This window comes from Homo sapiens, chromosome 8 (genome assembly GCF_000001405.40).
Source record: "Homo sapiens chromosome 8, GRCh38.p14 Primary Assembly".
NCBI classification, from domain to species: domain Eukaryota; kingdom Metazoa; phylum Chordata; class Mammalia; order Primates; family Hominidae; genus Homo; species Homo sapiens.
In genome coordinates, this window is record NC_000008.11 from 10,507,045 (window position 1) to 10,527,119 (window position 20,075).

Genomic DNA, 20,075 nt, shown 5'->3' on the forward strand with positions numbered 1-20,075 from the left:
ATGACATAAAAGATATTACAGTGCCCTCGTCCAGGGCATTTTACCATGAATGGAGCTCGCAGGACTGGAGTTGCTCTGGGTGAGTCAGTGAGTTAGCAGTGAGTGAATGTGAAGGCCTAGGACAGGAGTCTGCACGGTGGTAGACTTTGTAAACACTGTACACTTAGGCTACATTATATTTATAAAGAATAGTTTTTCTTTCTTCATTAATAAATTAATCTTAGCTTCTGTAACTTTTTTTACCTATAAACTTTTATGTTTTTAATATCTTAAAATTCTTTGGTCATAACATAGCTTAAAATACACATTGTACACTGTAAAAATATTTTCTTTCTGGCTGGACACGGTGGCTCACGCCTGTAACCCCAGCACTTTGGGAGGCCGAGGCGGGCAGATCATGAGGTCAGTAGTTCGAGACCAGCCTGGCCAATATGGTGAAACCCCATCTCTACTAAAAATACAAAAATTAGCTGGGTATGGTGATGCGTGCCTATAGTCCCAGCTACTTGGGGGGCTGAGGCAGGAGATTACTTGAACCCGGAGGCAGAGGTTGCAGTGAACCAAGATTGCACCACTGCACTCCAGCCACAGTGAGACTCCGTCACACACACACAAAAAAATTCTTTCTTTATATCCTTATTTTTATGAAATAAAATACAAACAACCCCATCAAAAAGTGGGTAAAGCATATGAACAGACCTTTCTCAAAAGAAGACATTTATGCAGCCAAAAGACACATGAAAAAATGCTCATCATCACTGGCCATCAGAGAAATGCAAATCAAAACCACAATGAGATACAATCTTACACCAGTTAGAATGGTGATCATTAAAAAGTCAGGAAACAACAGGTGCTGGAGAGGATGTGGAGAAACAGGAACACTTTTACACTCTTGGTGGCACTGTAAACTAGTTCAACCATTGTAGAAGTCAGTGTGGCGATTCCTCAGGGATCTATATAACTAGAAATACCATTTGACCCAGCCATCCCATTACTGGGTATATACCCAAAGGACTATAAATCATACTGCTATAAAGACACATGCACACCTATGTTTATTGCGGCACTATTCACAATAGCAAAGACTTGGAACCAACCCAAATGTCCAACAACGATAGACAGGATTAAGAAAATGTGGCACATATACACCATGGAATACTATGCAGCCATAAAAAATGATGAGTTCATGTCCTTTGTAGGGACATGGATGAAGCTGGAAACTATCATTCTGAGCAAACTATCACAAGGACAAAAAACCAAACACCACATGTTCTCACTCATAGGTGGGAATTGAACAATGAGAACACATGGACACAGGAAGGGGAACATCACACTCTGGGGCCTGTTGTGGGGTGGGGGGATGGGGGAGGGATAGCATTAGGAGATATACCTAATGTTAAATGACGAGTTAATGGGTGCAGCACACCAACATGGCACATATATACACATGTAACTAACCTGCATGTTGTGCACATGTACCCTAAAACTTAAACTATAATAAAAAAAGATTTAAAAAATTAATTTTTACTTTTTAAACATTTTTAAAGAAATTAAGACACACACACACATTAGCCCTTCATAGACCTACACAGGGGTCAAGATCATCAATATCACGGTCTTCTACCTCTACCTCTTGTCCCACTGGGAGGTCTTCAGGGCCAAGAACATGCATGGAGCTGTCATCTCCTATGATAACAATACCTTCTGGATACCTCCCGAAGGACCTGTCTCAGGCTGTTTTATAGTTAATTATTTTTTAATAAGAAGGAGTATACTCTAAAATTATGAAATATATATAGTGTAATAAATACATAAATCAGTACCATAATCGCTTATCTTTATCAAGTATTATTTGATGTGCATAATTGTATATGCTGGACTTTTATACAACTGACAGTATGGGAGGTTTGCTAAAACCAGCAGCACCACGACACATCAGTGATGAGTTGTGCTCTGGTGACAGCTACCACGTCACCAGGGGACAGGAATTTCTCAGCTCCATTGTAGTCTTGTGCGACCACTGTCATATATGCAGTTTGTCATTGCCCCAAACGTTGTTATGCATACCCTGACTGTTTTTTTTCTTTTTTTTTTCTTTTTTTTTGAGACAGAGTCTCGCTCTGTCACCCAGGCTGGAGTGCAGTAGTGTGATCTCGGCTCACTGCAAGCTCTGCCTCCCGGATTCACGCCATTCTCCTGCCTCAGCCTCCTGAGTAGCTGGGACTACAGGCGCCCGCCACCACGCCCGGCTAATTTTTTGTACTTTTAATGGAGAAGGGGTTTCACTGTGTTAGGCAGGATGGTCTCAATCTCCTGACCTCGTGATCTGCCCACCTCGGCCTCCCAAAGTGCTGGGATTATAGGCGTGAACCACCGCGCCTGGCCCCCTGACTGTATTTAAAGTTGAGGGATGTGATCTTGCCCTGGCTCCTTCAGGATACTTATTTGCGGTCCCACCTGGTTTTTCCCCGCAAGAATCTGCTCTGAAAGGTCATTTCTCTACCTCTGTGCTCCTAGGACTTTACCTATGAACTTGTTTAAAGTTCATTTTAAGTATAATATTTACCAATTGTTTTTGTAAAAAAGTTATTTAAATTTTAAGGAAATTTGAAAGTCCTTTTTCTGAAAAAAAAAAAAAAAAAAAAAACAAAACAAAACAAAAAACAAAAAACTGTTTTTCAGTGAATAACACTCGGCTCACCCAATGTATCAATTTCTTCTGTTTTGATGTTTGGAAGTTAAAATTTGTTGCTTGATTAAATCTTTTCCTTTTCATTTCTTCTTATGGTTTAAATGCTCAGAAAGTCATTCTCTTTTATAAGAAATTATTGAAGAAACTTCTTTTGAATGAATCTGTCCATGTCCATCTGTCATGATTGCCATCGTTTGCTCTAATAATCTTCTCTTTAAGAGAAGCAGCATTAGTGATGTTACAGCATTAGAATGTAAATTCAATAAACATAGGTTGCCAAGGACACCAAGTTTATGACAATAAATTAGTAGATATTTATGCTAGAAGATGTCACTCTGCAGCATTAGAATGCTTTAACATCATTGGGAGAATTTATTTAGGGCTCATCTCTTGTTAATTCAGGGTGGATATTTCTCATCCCATCTCTTGCCCCAGATTTTTATTTCACGTTTTGCAATTCCAGACTTGAAATTTAAATCAGAGTAGGAAAGGTCTTCCATACTTCTCACAGTTCCACTCTTGATCTCCTCATTTTCTCCCCATTCTCTCTGCATTGCTCCCTCCCCATCTCTGTAGAGTTTCTCATATTCCCAAGTGAACACATATATACGGAGGATGCAAGCCCACGGTGAGCTCCAAACCCAGCTTAGCATGAATGTGTAGCAATAGCTGCTGTTACAGATGCCTGGTTGGTTTCAGTTTTGGTTGTTACACTGAAACTGAGTGGTAATCATGCTCCACCAATACAAAAATAGACAAATGTTTGTTTTTATATTGAAGATTTAAACCAAATCTGAATTCAGTGCCCAAATTCTTCATCAAAGAGTTTGTTCAATTCTCAGAACTCACAGCCACCAAGTTTAAGAACGCGTGGTTGCAGCGGTAGAATTTTTAACAGTCTTGGTCGCAGCACTAAGGAAAACCCAACGGCTAGCAGCATTTAAACAGAGAGTAAACATTCACTTTATGTTTAATGCTGACAATGCTTAAAATTCAGTAAACACAGACTGCCCAGGACACCAAGTTTATGGCAATAAATTAGTAATATTTATGTTAGAAGATGTCACTTTGCAGAAACTGGCACTGTCTTTTTTTACTCTTGCCACCCTGTGAGGATATTGCAATTTACTCTGAGTTGGTTGTTGTCAGTCCTCCTGTTTCCCCAGGTTGACCCCACGTGAATCAGAGATTGCTTTGGCCTATGTGGCCTGGAGCTGTTCTCTTCCCCATTGAAGCTGCCACTTCTTCCTCAAGCCCCTGCATCTCCAATAATCCCCCACATTCCAACACGCAGAGGAGGGCCCTGTCCTTCCTCTTCCTGTGCCCCTCCCTCCGTCAGCCCCCTCGGCATCTCTCCTTGGGACTGTGGGGCAGTCTCCTCACCCTCATGTTAGCCCTGATCCCTCGACCCCCTCCTCCCACCTCCTACACGGCCAACTCAGTTCCCTGGCTAGCATGTGGGAGTGATCTTGCTGATTTTCTCCTTAAACCCTTCCACAGTCCCTTCCCACATCCACAAACAAGACAAAGTCACATTGCTCAGAGGGTAGGAAAAAACAAACTGTTTCCTCCTACTCTATACGCCCCCACTCTCAATAGTTCGTTTCTGATGCCAGATGGTTGGGTGTTTTCCCCACACTAAGCAATTTTCCATGGGGCCCCAGCTGGGCCTCCTACAATTCAACTCAATCTGATAGAAACCAGAGTTAGCGCAGACCCCACAAGGTACGGGCTCAGTCTCACGCTTCAAACCCCCCACTTCAGATGACAATCACAAATAGTAGGTTCCCAGGTCACAACTTCTGACTTGACTACAAACTGGGGATTCCCACAACCCCATCCTCAGGTTTCATGATTCACTAGAGCAGCTCACAGAACACAGGAAAAACCATTTACTTACTGTTGCTCATTTATTACAAAGGATATTTTAAATAGTGCAGATGAACAGCCAAACGAAGACATGCCCAGGGCAAGGTATGGGGGAAGGGACGTGGTGCTTCCATGCCCTCTCTGGGCACACCACCTTCCCCGTGTTCAACAACCTGGAATGGCTCCAAATTCTTGCCTTTGGGGGTTTTGTGGAGACTTTTTGACATAGTCATGATTGATTAAATCATTGGCCACTTGTGGTCAACTCAACATTCAGCCCCTCTGAGACCCCAAAGCATCTCGAAAACATGTCAACAGGGCACGCACCATGTTGTATTAATTATCTGTTGACATGTCTGTCTCCGTGACTAGACTATAAATGTCTTGAGGCTGTAAATCACACTGTGCCCTCTTTGTGTTGCTAACATTTAACAGTCTTTGAATATGTTAAGTTTCAGTAAATGTTTATTGAATAAATGAGTGAACAAAAAAGCTATACATTTCCTGAATGTTTTGAGCACTTTATAATTTCAGCTTATGCAGCCTTTTGGAGTCATTACTCACAGAGGTTTACCACCCATAATTTTCACTTTCTATTTATCCCAATTTTAAGCTTTTTAGATCTTCAAACTGTGCTCAGAACAACTCGTTTAGAGGATTGAATCAGAAAGTCTTACTTCTGCTGGCACAAAACCTTGGAAACCTTGATTCTCTCTCAGGAACTGGTTGAATCTGGGTAGCAACAAAGAGCTATTAATTATTCATTATTCACTCACTCATCTATTCATCTCAGAAATATTTACTGAAAATCAACCAGGCATAAGGTTGTATATTATCTTAGTGGCAAATGTGAGCTTCAAACCCAGGTCTTCTCAATCCTAGTTCAATGCTATTCCTTCCACAAAGACCATCTGTCAATGAGGCCCAGCCCCTTCCTCAAGGATCCTACAGGGCAGGACATTACAATAGTAACAGCTAATACCTATTGTAGACCAGGCACTGTGCTATGTTCTTGATCTTATACATATTAACTCCTTTAATCTTCACTTATAAGATGGATTCTATTATTAAATCTATTTCACAGAAGTAACGGAGGCCCAGAGAGGCAGGCAATTTCCTCGGGAGCATACTGTTAGTAAGTGCTGGAACCCAGAACAGAAGCCAGGCAGTCTGGTTCTAGAGTCACTGGAATTGAGCACGACACTTGTAGTTTGGATCTGTGTCCCCACTCAAATCTCGTGTTGAACTGTAGTACCAGAGTTGGAGGTGGGGCCTGAAGGGAGCGGATTTGATCATGGGGTGGATTTCTCGCGAGTGGTTTACCATCATCCCCTTGGTTGTGTTCTCGCGATAGTGAGTTCTCGCGAGATCTTGTTGTTTAAAAGTGTGTAGCACCTTCCCCTTCTCTCCCTCTTGCTCCTGCTCTGGCCATGTGAAGTGCCTGTTTCCCTTTTGCTTTCTGCCATAATTGGAAGCTTCTTGAGGCCTCCCCAGAAACAGATGCCACGTTGCTTCCTGTGCAGTGTACTGAATCATGAAACCTCCTTTCCTATAAATCACCCAGTCTCAGTCCAGCCTCAGGGACTTCTTCATAGCAATGTGAGAATGGACTAATACAACACTATACTGCCTTTAGTGCACAGTTCTGCCTACTCACGTGCCGTTGCTCCTTCTGGCCACTGTAACGCTAGACTCACGTTTTAGGGTTGCCTCTCTGGACACAGCTGAAAGAAGCAAGCTCCCCATTCTAACTTACATTTTATATGCTTTATTTTCGCTAGCCCCCATGGGAAATCATCACTTTTTTGCCTTATGCATAGCAAAACCTTGGAGATTTTTCCACCAAGGATTTCCACCATCTGGACGTTTTCCATGGATGAACCAGGAAAATAGTTTCCAGGCCCTGACATACATTCTCTACACTATGGCCCTTATGAAAAGATATTGGCCATATTTGGCCATAGTTCCACCACCATTCTTTTTGATGATTTGGACCCTTTATTAATATATTTAGATATTTTCAATATGCCTCAGTTGTTTTAAAATAAAATCGGGTCTGTAGTTTGAGTTTTAATATATAATCTTTTCTTTGAATTGTAAAATAACTTTACAGTGACATTTGAGGAAAGATGGCTTATAAATACATCATGCACACAATATACATATACATCTATCCTAGGTGTATACTGAAATTAACCAAATATATTTTAATTTTTTTTTTTTTGAGACTGAGTTCAGCTCTTGTTGCCCAGGCTGGGGTGCAAATGGTGCGATCTCGGCTCACTGCAACCTCCACCTCCCAGGTCCAAGCAATTCTCCTGCCTCAGCCTCCCAAGTAGCTGGGATTACAGGTGCCCACCACTGCGCCCAGCTAACTTTTTATATTTTTAGTAGAGACAGGGTTTCACCACGTTGGTCAGGCTGGTCTCAATCTCCTGACCTTAGGTGATCCACCTGCCTCGGCCTCCCAAAGTGCTGGGATTACAGGCGTGAGTCACCGCGCCAGGCCAAAATGCATTTTTATGAAAGAAAAAAAAAAGTATCTGTGTTGAAATTAGAAGAACCAAACTCTTGCTGCAAACTTTGTATGTTTTCATTATAATTTTACCAGGATGAAAGGAGACCCAGAAAATACACATAGACATGTAGCATTGCTATTCTAGAGTTCCTTGAAATGCAGAGGCCTGGGAACAACATGAAGAAAAGTCCACAGAGTCCCACCACTACCTACAGCTCAGAGGACAAAAGCCTGTGGCTAGGCAGACAGTGAAAGGACAGGGAGCTCTCCTTGGAAGCCACTTGACCTCTGTTGGGACAGGCTGGAGTGAACACTCTGCCTGTATGATGCCTCCCCTCCCAACCTTGACACGGCTTCTACAAGGCTGGGGGCATCATGAGGAGGCAACTAAGTTTCCCAGGCGGTACTAGAGCCATGTTTGCAGAGAAAAATATGTATCTGGCTCAGGAAATTAAAAAGGCTTTGAGTTTCAAGAAAATCATCACAAGGAGGGAAGAACCTCCTAAAATCCAAGGATACCCCTACACATGAAAAGATTCCATCCAAGCTGATAGAACTTCACTCCTTTCCTGGCCCCCTTTTGAGAGAAAGTATTCCAATAATGTATTCCTGGACTGTGACTGATCCTGACCCCAACTCCCTCGCCACTGTCCCCAGGCAGGCTGAACAGGATGATAAATTGCCAGCATACAGCCCTCCCGGTACAGAGAGAAGATCATGACTAGGCTCATGTCAGAAGGGAAAGACAGCAGTGGGTTTCTATCTAGATCATGTGGACCAAAAGGCAGATCTCCTAGAACTGGCCCCGAGTTAAAAACAAACAAGCTGAAAAATAGGAAAATCTTGCAAAACTATTACAAAAAAAGAAACAAAATGTACAACATACACATGAATAATACATTTGTTTGGCTAGTATCAGGGGAAAAAATAGCTTAGAGCTGTTTTATGCAAGGATGTTGAAGAAAAGATGAAACACTATAAAACAGGAGCTCATAAGCGGAAAGAATAAAATAAAAAGGAGCTGGCAGGAACAGAGAAAAAATAAGGGGTAATAACAGAATTGAAAAATTAGACCGGGCACAGTGGCTCAACCCTGTATTCCCAGGACTTTGGGAGGCGGAAGTGGGCAGATCACTTGAGGTCAGGAATTCGAGACCAGCCTGGCCAACATGGTGAAACCCCAACTCTACTGAAAATAGGAAAATTAGCTGGGCATGGTGGCAGGCTCCTGTAATCCCAGATACTCAGGAGGTTGAGGCAGGAGAATCGCTTGAACCAGGAGGCGGAGGTTGCAGTGAGCCAAGATCATGCCACGGCACTGCAGCCTGGGAGACAGAGCGAGACTCCATCTCAAAAAAAAAAAAAGAAAAAGAAAAGAAAAATTAAAACCAAAATAGATGGAATATGAAATTTGGACAACCTTGTTGCTGAGAATAACTACAAAGTGTAAAATATGTAACATCCCTTGCTCGAAAGCACTAGAGAGTTAAGTTAATGAAGAGTTACTGGGCCAGTTTATAGCAAAAGAAGGAAATCCAAAGAGGTGAGCCAGGCAATAGGAATGCCCTGGGGGCAACTTGGCAGTTTGTAACTCTAGGACCAGTCGATGGGGAGGGGCCTAAGTTCCTGTGGCTTTGTTTAGGAGCTTCATGGTCTGCACCCTAGGAGTATGGGCACTTCACAAGTAAACTGGGCTACAAGTGTACACATGGAATAATATTTCATCTCCTCAAGAGCTGCTGCAATATACCAGGCAATAACAACACACGGCCCAGAAGCTTCACCGACATGGCACATAACAGCTTGAGCACCTTGGATGTGATGGGCAGAGGGGGGCACAGGTGAAGCAGCAAGCACTGGTGCAGTGTTGTTGATTTTTTGTTTTTGTTTTTTGTGATAGAGTCTTACTCTGTCGCCCAGATGGAGTGCAGTGGCATGATCACGGCTCACTGCAACCTCCACCTCCTGGCTTCAAGCAATTCTCCCGTCTCAGCCTTCTGAGTAGCTGGGATTACAGTCACCTGCCACCACGCCTGGCTTTTTTTTTCTTTTTTTTTTTTTGGTATTTTTATTAGAGACAGGGTTTCACCAAGTTGGCCAGGCTGGTCTCGAACTCCTGACCTCATGATCCACCCACCTCGGCCTCCCAAAATGCTGGGATTACAGGCATGAACCACCGCGCATAGGCCGTTAATGACTTTTATAAAACTGTGTGAATTCAGACTGTGTGGTGCGACACAGAGATCAATAAATATGCCAATGAAATAAGCAGCGTCTACAAACAGCCTGATAGATATAATTAGACCTGATTTTTGACAAAAGTGGCAGCTGGGAAACAAATGTTCCCAGATGAGCTGGGTCAGTAGGATATCCAGGTGGAAAAAAATTCATCCTGATCCTTTTATTGTATATGAAAATTGATACCAAATGGATTCAAAATCTAAATGTAAAAGATGAAAGTATGAAACGTCTAGAGAATAACATAGGAAAATATCTTTACTAATCCAGAATGCAGAAAAATTAATTTAAGAAGTGAAGTCACGAAAGCTCTAGAATAATAAAAGCTAACGAATTTTGAGTATGTACAAAGTTTCAAGCACAGTTCTCAGAGCTTTGTGCAAAACTCATTTTCACAACAACCTTAATACAGCCATTTTGCAGATGAGGAAACTGAAATGCAGAAACGTTAAGTAACTCATCCTAAGGTCACATAGCAGGTACATGGAGGAAATATAATTAGAACACAATCTTACTTCAGAGCTCACTCTATGCTGTCCAATATGCTGGATTTATATTCTTGGGATGAAAAAGCCCTTCCAAAAACATGAAATAAAAGCCAAGAATCATAAGTGAAAATACCGACAAGTTTTTTACACACGTTTTAAATTTGTTTCGTCCAAAATAAAATTGCAAGAGAACTGAAGAATTAGGAAGATTTTGCAGCAATTATAAGAGACAAAGCTCTGATGTCATTAAAATTCAAAACGGTCCTACAAATCAACTTTAAAAGCTCACCCAGATAAGAAAAATGGGAAAACTCTAGGAACAGGTAATTCTCAGAAGAATAAATATAAAATGTTCTGAATCAGGCTGGGAGTTGGGGCAAGAGTGATCTTATGGATGGATACATCTCAAAAATGCGAGATTCAATAAAATTAAACTTAGGCCACTTTCTTTACTGTAAAATATATCAGAGCCTTTTATATATGGTTATCCACAGTGATACTACAGAAAAATTATCAAATGGAACATTTCCAAATCATGTCTAACATAGAACTTTTCCCTCCGGAGCTTTTCCCAGGACTGAGGCTTTGCAGAACAAATTCTGCATTAACTCATTTACTCCACATAATAGCCCTATCATGTTCTCCATGTTATGAGATTATATAATCTAATACCGGCATTCTAAATTAAATAAGGTCTTACTCCACCACTACTTTGCTGCCTCCCCCAGGGTGTTGGGCCTGGAAAGATTGTTAATGATTTTACAAAGAGGAAGGTGGAGATGAGAAGCAAAGTCAGTTGCTAAATCATTCCTCCAATTCCCCTGAGCTTCCAGAACTCTGGGTCCAGACCCTGGGGAATCATTTTAGACAGCATCTTTGCAGAACCAATACATGGACTTGGATTGGTCAACTATAATCTCTTCATTTCCTGAGTCACTGGCCCTAACTCAGCATCCCTGGGGCCTCTAAGTCAACTCTCCAGGAGCCAGGTAAGAGGTGGCATCCCTTCCCCCAACCTCTGCTCCTAGCGGGCCTGGCACAGACCTGGATTGTCCTGGGCATGTCCCTTGAGTGCCAAAAGCAGGGGAATTAGAAGCTGGAACATCTTCTTGTCAATTCCAGTCCAAAATTGCCAAACCTTTGCCTCCAGCCAGAGCTGACAACATGCCAGCCACAGTGGTTTCTGGCAGGGGCATCACAATGCAGGGCAGAGTGGGACTAGTGACTTCACATTGAGCCCTGGGCTCAGGGAGGGGCAGGGGATGCAGGTCAGCCTGGGTGAGCAGAGTCCGCATGTCCAGTCCTTCCCTGTCTCGCGTCCCCTCTGCAGCAGGCGCTAACGGGGCACCCTGGAAGGGCCAGGCTGGGTGAGCGGCTGTCGGCCTGCTCCCCTCCCACCTTTGACGCTATGCTTTTACTCCTTGTCTGCCTTGGTGTTAAATAGCTCTAGGTCTTTGGGTGATTTTTTATGTTCTCTGGAACCACGTTACAGAAAGCCTGAAACGCCTTGTTAAGACATTTGGATCTTACCCATGAGGTCAGCTGGGGAGGAAGCGATAGAATTAAAGAGGGTCATGTGGTAACATTTGCATTAAAAGATGACCGATCTCTACTAAAAAAAATAAAAATAAAAAATAGCCAGGCATGGTGGTGCGTGCGTGTGGTTCCAGCTACTCCGGAGGCCGAGGCAAGAGGATGCTTGAGCCCAGGAGGTCGAAGCAGCAGTGAGCTGTCATTGCTCCACTGCTCCAGCCTGGCCAACAGAACAAAATCCTGTCAAAAAAAAAAATACTTTGGAGTGGATGAAACTAGAAGAGAGTATCACATAGGAAGTGGCTCCAGTCATACAGATGGGACATGACAGGGGCCTAAAGTAGGAAAGACATGGTGGACCTGGAGAGAAACACAGGCAACAAGGCGGAGCGGAGAGGCACCATGGTTGATGGGCTCGGCAGGATGACCAGGCAGCCACAAGCCCAATCTGAAAGTCTAGGGTGGAAGGATAAGCTGGGGAGTCGTCAACCTATTGAAGTCCGGAGATGGGTGAGGTCGCCCAGGGAGAGCATCTGCACAGAGGAGCACAGAGAGCCCAGGCTGGACCCTGAAGGACCCTCAGCATCCACACAGAGGAGGCAGAGCTGGAAAAGGAAGCTGGCAATTGCCAGAAGAGCTGGAGGAAACCCAGGAGAGGGAGTTGCTGTGGAAAACGGAAAATGGGCCAAGAACGCTCCAAGGACAGGTGCCTCTGATTACAGATAATCCCTCCCCTCTGCTCCTCCCACAGCCTCAGGGATCTGATACCATTGGTTATGTGCACCCTCCCTCATCGTCCCCTTCTCCTACTCTTCCACATCCTTCTCATCAGCCTTTGAAGGTGCTTTAGTCATGCCACCTTAAATCCTTCAAAATAAACAGCTCCCCAATCCCCTCCCTGTCAGTGACTTACCTACAGCCTCCTCCCCATCTCTTCTCATTTACAACCACAGTCTTTGTCATTCAAAGAAGAAATGAATAAAGTGCCTGCTGCCTGGAACAGCAGCTATCTACAAGGCTCACAAGTTATCCAGAAGTCCCCCCAGTTATCTCCAAGGCTCACTCCCGCCTTCCTTCAGGTGTCTTCCCAGTCGCCCTGTCAGTGAGACCTGCCCGATCATCCTGCAGAAAACAGCACGCGCGCCTCCCAGCCTGCCCTCCCCATGCCCTTCTCTGCTTCATTTTTTTCCCTAGCAGTTATCACCCTCTGACATCATCTATGCCTTCAGTATTTACTTTCTGTCTGTCTCACTAGACTATAACCTGGATGAGGGTGAGAGCTTTTTCCTTTATATGTACTCCCTTATCTCCAGTTTTCAGAATGATGCTTGGAACATATTAGGCACTTATAAATAGTCGGAATGAATGAATGCATGCATGCATGGCTGGCCCTGAGAAGAGAAGGCCTTACCTCCCACTCAAGCTAGGGGTTGACCCTGAGGTGTTGTGGTCCTGGCTTCACCCTGATGAGTTGCATTCTCTTGACCAAGTCATTTAAAGTCTGAGTCTCCTTCCCCCTCGTGGGTTTTTTGAGAGGATTAAGGAAAATCATGTGAGCATTCAACAGGATTGTGTATAAAAGCACACGCGACGGCAGCATGGCCTCTGAGACTGGCAACCTGCACTGGAATCCAGGTGTGACGCTCAGTGACCTGTGGTGCTGGCTGTATCCTTCTCCATGAAATGAGGCAGGGGCTGACTTCGTCTGGTTCTTGGGATTGTTCTGAAATGCAAACCCATCAGCACTCAGGAAAGCATCAGAACCAATCAACACCCGGCCCCTCCGACACCCCATTGACTCACTTGGAATCAGACAGGGTTAGATGGGAATGGCCTCTGAGATCTCATGTGCCTGAGCCAAGTCTATGGCTGTGATCTATCACTGGCTGAAAATGCCAACTTGGTGGTTAAAGTTGTAACCTGGGCTGCAGAACATCAACGCCATCATCACAGCAAACTAGTTATGGATGCCTTACTATGCTGTCGTCACTGTGACTGCGGAGGTCAGCCTATTCTTATCCCCCATGTAGTGATAAGGAAAGTGAAGCTCTGCGAGGCTAGATAACCTGTCCACAGCCCCTTGTGGAGATGGCAGAAGCAGGATTAGAAGCAAGGTACGACTGATTCCAGAACCCACTCTCTAAAGCAACAGTCAGACCACCTCCTAAACAATGCACGCAATCTAAATAGAAGAACAGCTTCTAGGAACACCAAGTGCCCGTGTAAATATCAGAGAGGACACAAGAAGCATCCTCCCAAAGCCTCTGACCTTCATCTCTGCTGGAGATCCCTCATCCCTGTGAGGTCCTTATATGTCTGTAAGGTCCTAGTCCAACAATGGCAGCGGGTTTCATCTGCTCACCGGGTGATAGATGCCCAAACTGCTACATTGGAAGAGATTCCAAGGCCAGTTTTTGGCTCAGTTGTGACCCATCGGCCAAGACCGACATGAGAGCTGGGGAGGGGGAGGAGGTAGAGTGTGGCCATTGTTCCAGACATCTGCCTGCCTGTGTCAGGGGACTTGCCCATGCTTGTGTGATTTTGTAGGTTTCCACACATGCTGTTCAGCAAACTGCTGTACATGGAGGAATCGTGAGGCTTCAGCCAGACCTTTCCCACCAGCCTGGAAGGAAAACACTGCAGCAAAGGCACTGAGGAGTGGAATGGGCACTGCGACGTAGCTTGTGATCAAAACACAGCTCGTTGTCTCCCACGGTCCTGTTAAAAGCCATTCAGAGGCTGGGCGCCGTGGCTCACACCCTGTAATCCCAGCACTTTGGGAGGATGAGGCGGGTGGATCATCTGAGGTCAGGAGTTTCAGACCAGCCTGGCCAACATGGTAAAACCCGGTCTCTACTAAAAATACAAAAATTAGCCAGACATGGTGGTGGGCACCTGTAGTGCCAGCTACTTGGGAGGCTGAGGCAGGAGAATCGCTTGGACCCAGGAGATGAAGGTTGCAGTGAGCTGAGATCACGCCACTGCACTCCAGCCTAGGGGGACAAAGCGAGATTCTGTCTCAAAAAAATAAAAATAAAAAATAAAAAAGCCATTCAGAGGGCATGATATGTTCTGTCCAGATAAAACTTAGACTTGGAGCTTTTCTGATTATTCTTAGGTAATAGTCCTGCGGTCACCTGGGTCCAAATTCAGGGTGATTTATGTACTAGAATACCCTCGTCCTTGTCACATTCTCGACACAGAATCTGACTCAGTGCTCAGCCTCCTCCAGACCTGGGCCCAGTTAGGAACAAGGTTCCTTTCTCACCTCCCACTCTGCTCACCTGCCCCCAGCAGGTGAAAGTTTAGGGGAAGGCACAGGTCCAGGTGAGCCCACACATCAGCTCACTGTTCCTTGGGCCTGGCAGACATTGAAGACTGGCTCTTCGGTGGTATCTTCACGGGCTCTTCCATGGTTCCCTGCTGGGTGGCTTTCTCCTGAGGTCCCCAGGCCAGGGTGGGGCTCTCTCTGTAGCGTGCTGCTTTCTGCTCTTTGTCATCCCGTGTGCACCTGGTGATACACCCCAGACTCTTTCTAACAGATTTCCTTGCCCCCTCCAGGAAGCCTCATGGGAAATTCAGGCATTTCTCTCTCTGTGCAGCACACACTGATTCCAAGGAAAAACTGTGGGTTCAGGACAGTCCCTACCCAGCAGCATCCCTCCCAGAACCATTCTCTCACCTCCAGATTTCCCAAGTGTGAGTTAGACCCCAGGGATCCCAGCAAAGCTCTCTACAGGAGGCCTAACTGATGCTTCTCAAAGATGTCCAGAGATGATCTGCATTGGATTCATCTGGAAGAAGCTGTGCTGTTACAAATGCTCAGACCTCTCCCCCACCCCCGGCCCGCCCCATCCCACTGGATCAGGATCTGAAGGACTAAGCCTGTAAACACGTACTAGAGTTGACAGATAAAATATAGGACATGAGTTATGTTTGAATTTCAAATAAACAGCAAATTATTTTAGGATGAATATGTCCTAAAAACAGTATGGAGTATATTTATACTAAAAATATTTGTTTATCTCAAATTCAAATTTGACAAGGCATCCTGTATTTTTATTTGCTGAATCTGGCAACCCTTATCTGCACTGAACAAGCTCCCTAGGCTGCACATCGAAGTCAGGACCACAGTTTGAATGTGTCTCCTCCAAAAGTTACGCATTGGAAACTTAATCCCCAATGCAACAGCGTCGAGGGGTGAGGCCTTTGGGAAGCGTTTGGGTGATGAAAGGTCTGTCCTCATGAATAGATTAACACCACTATACAAAGGGCTTGCTGGAGTGGGTTCACTCTCTTCTGTTCCTCTGAAGAACTTGAAGACACAACATTCCTCTTCCCCACAAGACATAGAAATATGGCACCATTTTGGAACCAGAGACCAAACCTGCTGGCACCTTGATCTTGGACTTCCTAGCCTCCAGAACTGTGAAAGAATAAATTTGCATTCTTTATAAATTACCCAATCTGGCCAGGAGTGGTGGCTCACGCCTGTAATTCCAGCACTTTGGGAGGTCAAGGAGGGCAGACCACCTGAGGTCAGGAATTCAGGACCAGCCTGGCCAACATGGTGAAACCCTGTCTCTACTAAAAATACAAAAATTAACCGGGCATGGTGGTGTGCACCTATAATCCCAGGTACTCAGGAGGCTGAGGCACGAGAATCGCTTGAACCGGGAGGTGGAGGTAGCAGTAAGCCAGGATCATACCACTGCACTCCAGCCTGAGTGACAGAGTGAGACTCCATCTCAAAGAAAAAAAAAAAAAAAACAATTACCCAATCTGTGGTATTCTGTCATAGCAACACAAACAGTCTAAGACAGTCAGAGAACCACTGGCCAAGACTTTGGTAAAGTCCCCAAGGCAATGCTACCCAGGGGCCTCTCGGGCATCAGCCAGGCAACAGTCCCCACACCACCCATATCCGACCTATATCATCATGTGCCTCCTTTCCTCTTTGAATTTCATCAAATTCCTTCTAGAGCACTGGCATTGCTCTCCTCACCCGGGACCCCCTAGTTTGCCCAGTCCAAGGGAGAGACTTTCCCATTGTAGTCTATGGGGGATGGCGCTCTCTGGAGTTGTGCAGAGCTCAGCATGTGAGGCTGGGATGTCTCCATCCAGAAGATGGGACATGGTGCAACCCAGCATCGCTGTGAAGATTTGCAAAGCAATGCTGGACAGTGAATGAGTATTTCACAAGAATAGACCTAAGTCATGTTCTTGGGAGGGATGGAGACTCTACAGTGTGGTCTTCAGCAGGAAATCAATCTTTCTGGAGGTGATGGATGATTTTGTTCAGATACTTCTATTGAAAATGAGCAGCAGTTTGCAGTGGATATGCCCGTGCCCCCTGTCTCTCCATCTGTGAGATTAGCTGTCATCTTCCATTCCCTCATCAGACCTGGAGCCCAGACTCCTCCTCCCCTCCACACCCTACCCCCAGAACCAATAGAAACTGAGCGAAGGAGAAAGCACTGGCATATAGCAGATGCATGAGTAGCAGGTCCAGTGGGGACCTGAGCCCAAAGGAGGGGAAGAGGAAAGCCAGGGAGCTCCCTATTAGCCACCCTGAGGGCCAAGGAGTGAGACTAAGTGGTGAGACCAGGGCCAGGTGCCTGGGTGTGCTGTGGGCTCCTGTCCCACATGCCAGTCAGGAAGTCCTGGCCTCCATCAGGGCCAGGCATCCCCTGTTGAAAAGACGGGTGAGGCATGGTTTAGAGCAGGTGGGGAGGGCACCACCCAGGGCCACTCAACAGGCTGTGGCTCAGCCTCGGAGGGGATGCCTGAGCAGTGAGGAGCAACCTTCGCCAGGGAGCTGCCTTGGGAGAAAGAGCAGAGAAGTCCTGGAATCTCCTCCCTGGGCAGTAGCTCGAGCTACACCCATGAGAGGCCACCTCGACAGTCATGTGATCTCACTTTAAGCCTCACAGTAACCTGCACGCCAGTGAGCATCGTGTTTCTCTGTTGCAGATGAGAAAACCGAGGAGGTAAGACTGGGCAGGTAGACACGCAGGCACTTTGGCGATTGAGCCCATAAGTCACTTCCAACCACGAGGCTCAGCCTGTGGCCAGGAAGGCAGTGCCCAGGCTGCTTGGGTAAGTCCACTTGGGTCAGCGCGCTGAGGGGTGTGGAAGTTTTAAAAATACACAAGGTTCAAAGCCCGTGACTGAGTCACTGACATCCAGGGAGGGCACACACCAGCAACCTCCATCCGAGGCTGGTCATTTCATCTTGAATGCACAGGGGCCCATCAGGAGACTTGGGGCCACGTGGGATCCATCTAGAAGGTGGTCGGAGGAGGATTGGGACCCGCCATGCTGGGCACGAGGGGAAGCCAGAACCTCTCAACCTGACCTGTGCGGCCACACCTGAGGCCCTGGGTCAGAGTCCTGAGCAGAGAACTAAGCGGGCAGCTGTACCCCACAGGGTGCTGGTGCTGGCAGAGGCCTCCAGGCGTCCCCGGGCCCCACCCCATTCCCGAGGGTCCAGGCTGGAAGCCCTTCCCCCATATCTTACTCCCACATTCACAGAGAAGCCTCAAAAAATGTTTGGGGGTGACAATGGCTGAAAGCATCAGTGTGCCCACCAAGGGCTCAATGATTTGGTTTGGCTGTGTCCCCACCCTAATCTCATCTTGAATTGTAGCTCCCATAATTCCCACGCGTTGTGGGAAGGACCCGGTAGGAGATGCTTGAATTTTGGGGGCAGTTTCCCGCATACTGCTCTCTTGGTAGTGAATCAGTCTCACAAGATCTGATGGTTTTATAAGGGGCTTCCCATTTCACATGGCTCTCATTCTCTCTTATCTGCCGACATGGAAGACATGCCTTTTGCCCTCCACCATGATTGTGAGGCCTCCCCAGCAACCTGGAACTGTGAGTCCATTAAACCTCTTTTTCTTTATAAGTTACCCAGTCTCAGGTATGGCTTTATCAGCAACACTCAGGAAGCTGGGTGGTGCCCAGGTCAGAGAGAAGGGAACCTGGGATAAGAAAGGCTCTGAGATGAGGTGCCTCTGTGCAGCCGTCCCGGAAACAAAGCAGCCAGAAAAGAAGTCTTCGTGGCTACAGTCTGAGTTCTTGGCTCCACAGCCCATTGTGACATCACTTGGGGGCTCTGGATCTGAGCTGGAGGCTCTCAGCCTCACTGCCTCAGCCCTGGCCTCTGTCACCCCCGGGCCCACAGCACAGCCCAGGGCCATGCTCCTGTTCTCAGTGTTGCTGCTCCTGTCCCTGGTCACGGGAACTCAGCTCGGTCCACGGACTCCTCTCCCAGAGGCTGGAGTGGCTATCCTAGGCAGGGCTAGGGGAGCCCACCGCCCTCAGCCCCCTCATCCCCCCAGCCCAGTCAGTGGTGAGTACAGGGGCAGAAGGGGCATGGATGGGGGCTCATGGTCCAGCTGACTGGCTGCCAGGAGGGTGGATCGCAGAGCACAAGGCCAGAGCTCCAGGGCTCCCCACATACCCCTTCTCCAAACCACTTGTCCTTTCTCTCCTCTCTCCCCTGGCCCAGTGTTTGACTTGTCTAACCCTGAGTTTTGGTTTTGAAACCTGACACTTTATCCTCAGAGGAATAGCAGGCTGCCCTGAAGCTCTTGCCTAGAACTAGCTGAGACTGAGTCCTCCCACTTGGAGGGGGACCACTACCCTGGGCCTCTGTGGCTCCCATCAGCACCAGGCTTCCAGGAGCCACAGACACCCAGGGATGCCTAGCTCAGTCAGGCCAAGTGCAAGGGTGCTTCTGTCCTTGTGCCCGGCCCCCCAGAGCTCCCTGATGGCTCATTTCTTCTCCAAGGGGGTGGTCAAGACTTCAGGGATGCTGGGGTACCTAGCAACTGCTAGGGGTCGAGCATTTCCCCATGTTTAACGCCCACACCACCACGGTGGGGCATCTGCTCTCAGACAACGTGTGGATGAGGAACTCAAAGCCTGAGGAAGAGGATTTGCCCAAAGTTGCCCCAGGGGGAAATGATAGAGCTGTCTGCCTGGCCTGCGCTGGGTGACCGCAGCGCCAGGCTGCATGCCCTGTGCACACCACTTCTTGCCCAGAACACAGCAGGTTCACCTGGCCTCCTTCAGTCCAGCCTAGGGTCCACTGCACTCTGTGTGAACAAGGGGTGGGAGGCATGAGGGGAGAGCATCAGCAGAATATGCTCCTCTAATGCGTGATCGCTCAGATCACTTAGAAGCAGCCGTTTCTGCTTCCATCACTGCTTCCAGGCTCTCAGCTCTGGCATGAACCTGAAAGTCAACACGATTCCATACAGATGTTGTGGGTTGATCTCAGGACCAAGAATGTGGGGGATGGATCCCATTGATGCAAAATGGATATGAGAACTTCTGCCAGTTCATTCTGGAGAGTTGACTTTGGTGCAAGCACTTGTTGGTCGCTTCAACATCCATCCTCTCATTTCATCCACACATCAGTCTTATAAAGTTGGCATTATCTTATGCTTATTTTAGGAATGAAGAAAGGGGGGTGGGTACCCAACGATAAGTAGCTTTCCCTAAATCGTTTCGTGAATAAGCAACAGAGCCTGGATTCAAGCTTGGGCTGTCTGGCCCAGAGCCTACCCTGAGCACGTGCCATGTTCTGCATCTCAGACAGAGAGACAGAGGGCACCCATCATAGCTGCCCACCATCCAACCCAGCTCATACACACTCGGCATGTTCATGTACTTCCTTCCATACTTATAAACCCACATTCTCAACGTAATAAAATCACAAGTTTTA

General features: G+C 46.6%; 2 protein-coding genes across 11 annotated transcripts in view, besides 2 other annotated features; one reads left to right on the forward strand and one right to left on the reverse strand.

Annotated features, from left to right (window-relative positions):
* PRSS51 (serine protease 51) overlaps positions 1-20,075 on the reverse strand; it is a 66,431-nt gene that overhangs the window by 25,752 nt on the left and 20,604 nt on the right. For 4 of the 6 annotated variants that reach the window (XR_007060818.1, XR_007060817.1, XM_047422510.1 and 1 more), the window contains exon 1: positions 10,850-10,987. The exons of the other annotated variants lie outside the window; for them this stretch is intronic. Coding sequence is in view for 1 of the 4 variants with exons in the window: in XM_047422509.1 (XP_047278465.1) it covers positions 10,850-10,910 (61 nt within the window). In the remaining 3 variants the exon portion in view is untranslated. Of the gene's footprint in view, positions 1-10,849; positions 10,988-20,075 lie in introns of those variants that run through there. 6 annotated transcript variants of the gene reach the window in all.
* Positions 4,448-4,717: an enhancer, noted in NCBI's record as "active region_26992". NCBI's record gives its function as "activates an Ori minimal core promoter by ATAC-STARR-seq in GM12878 lymphoblastoid cells {active_cell/tissue: GM12878}" and the evidence as "EXISTENCE:reporter gene assay evidence [ECO:0000049][PMID:35858748]".
* Positions 18,084-18,882: an enhancer, noted in NCBI's record as "H3K4me1 hESC enhancer chr8:10382638-10383436 (GRCh37/hg19 assembly coordinates)". NCBI's record gives its function as "activates a minimal SCP1, AML or CMV promoter by ChIP-STARR-seq in naive H9 embryonic stem cells {active_cell/tissue: H9 hESC(naive)}" and the evidence as "EXISTENCE:reporter gene assay evidence [ECO:0000049][PMID:30033119]".
* PRSS55 (serine protease 55) overlaps positions 18,488-20,075 on the forward strand; it is a 28,635-nt gene continuing 27,047 nt past the window's right edge. For all 5 annotated transcript variants that reach the window (XR_948897.4, NM_001197020.2, XM_005272372.5 and 2 more), the window contains exon 1: positions 18,488-18,695. Coding sequence is in view for 4 of the 5 variants with exons in the window: in NM_001197020.2 (NP_001183949.1) it covers positions 18,542-18,695 (154 nt within the window). In the remaining variant the exon portion in view is untranslated. The remainder of the gene's footprint in view (positions 18,696-20,075) is intronic.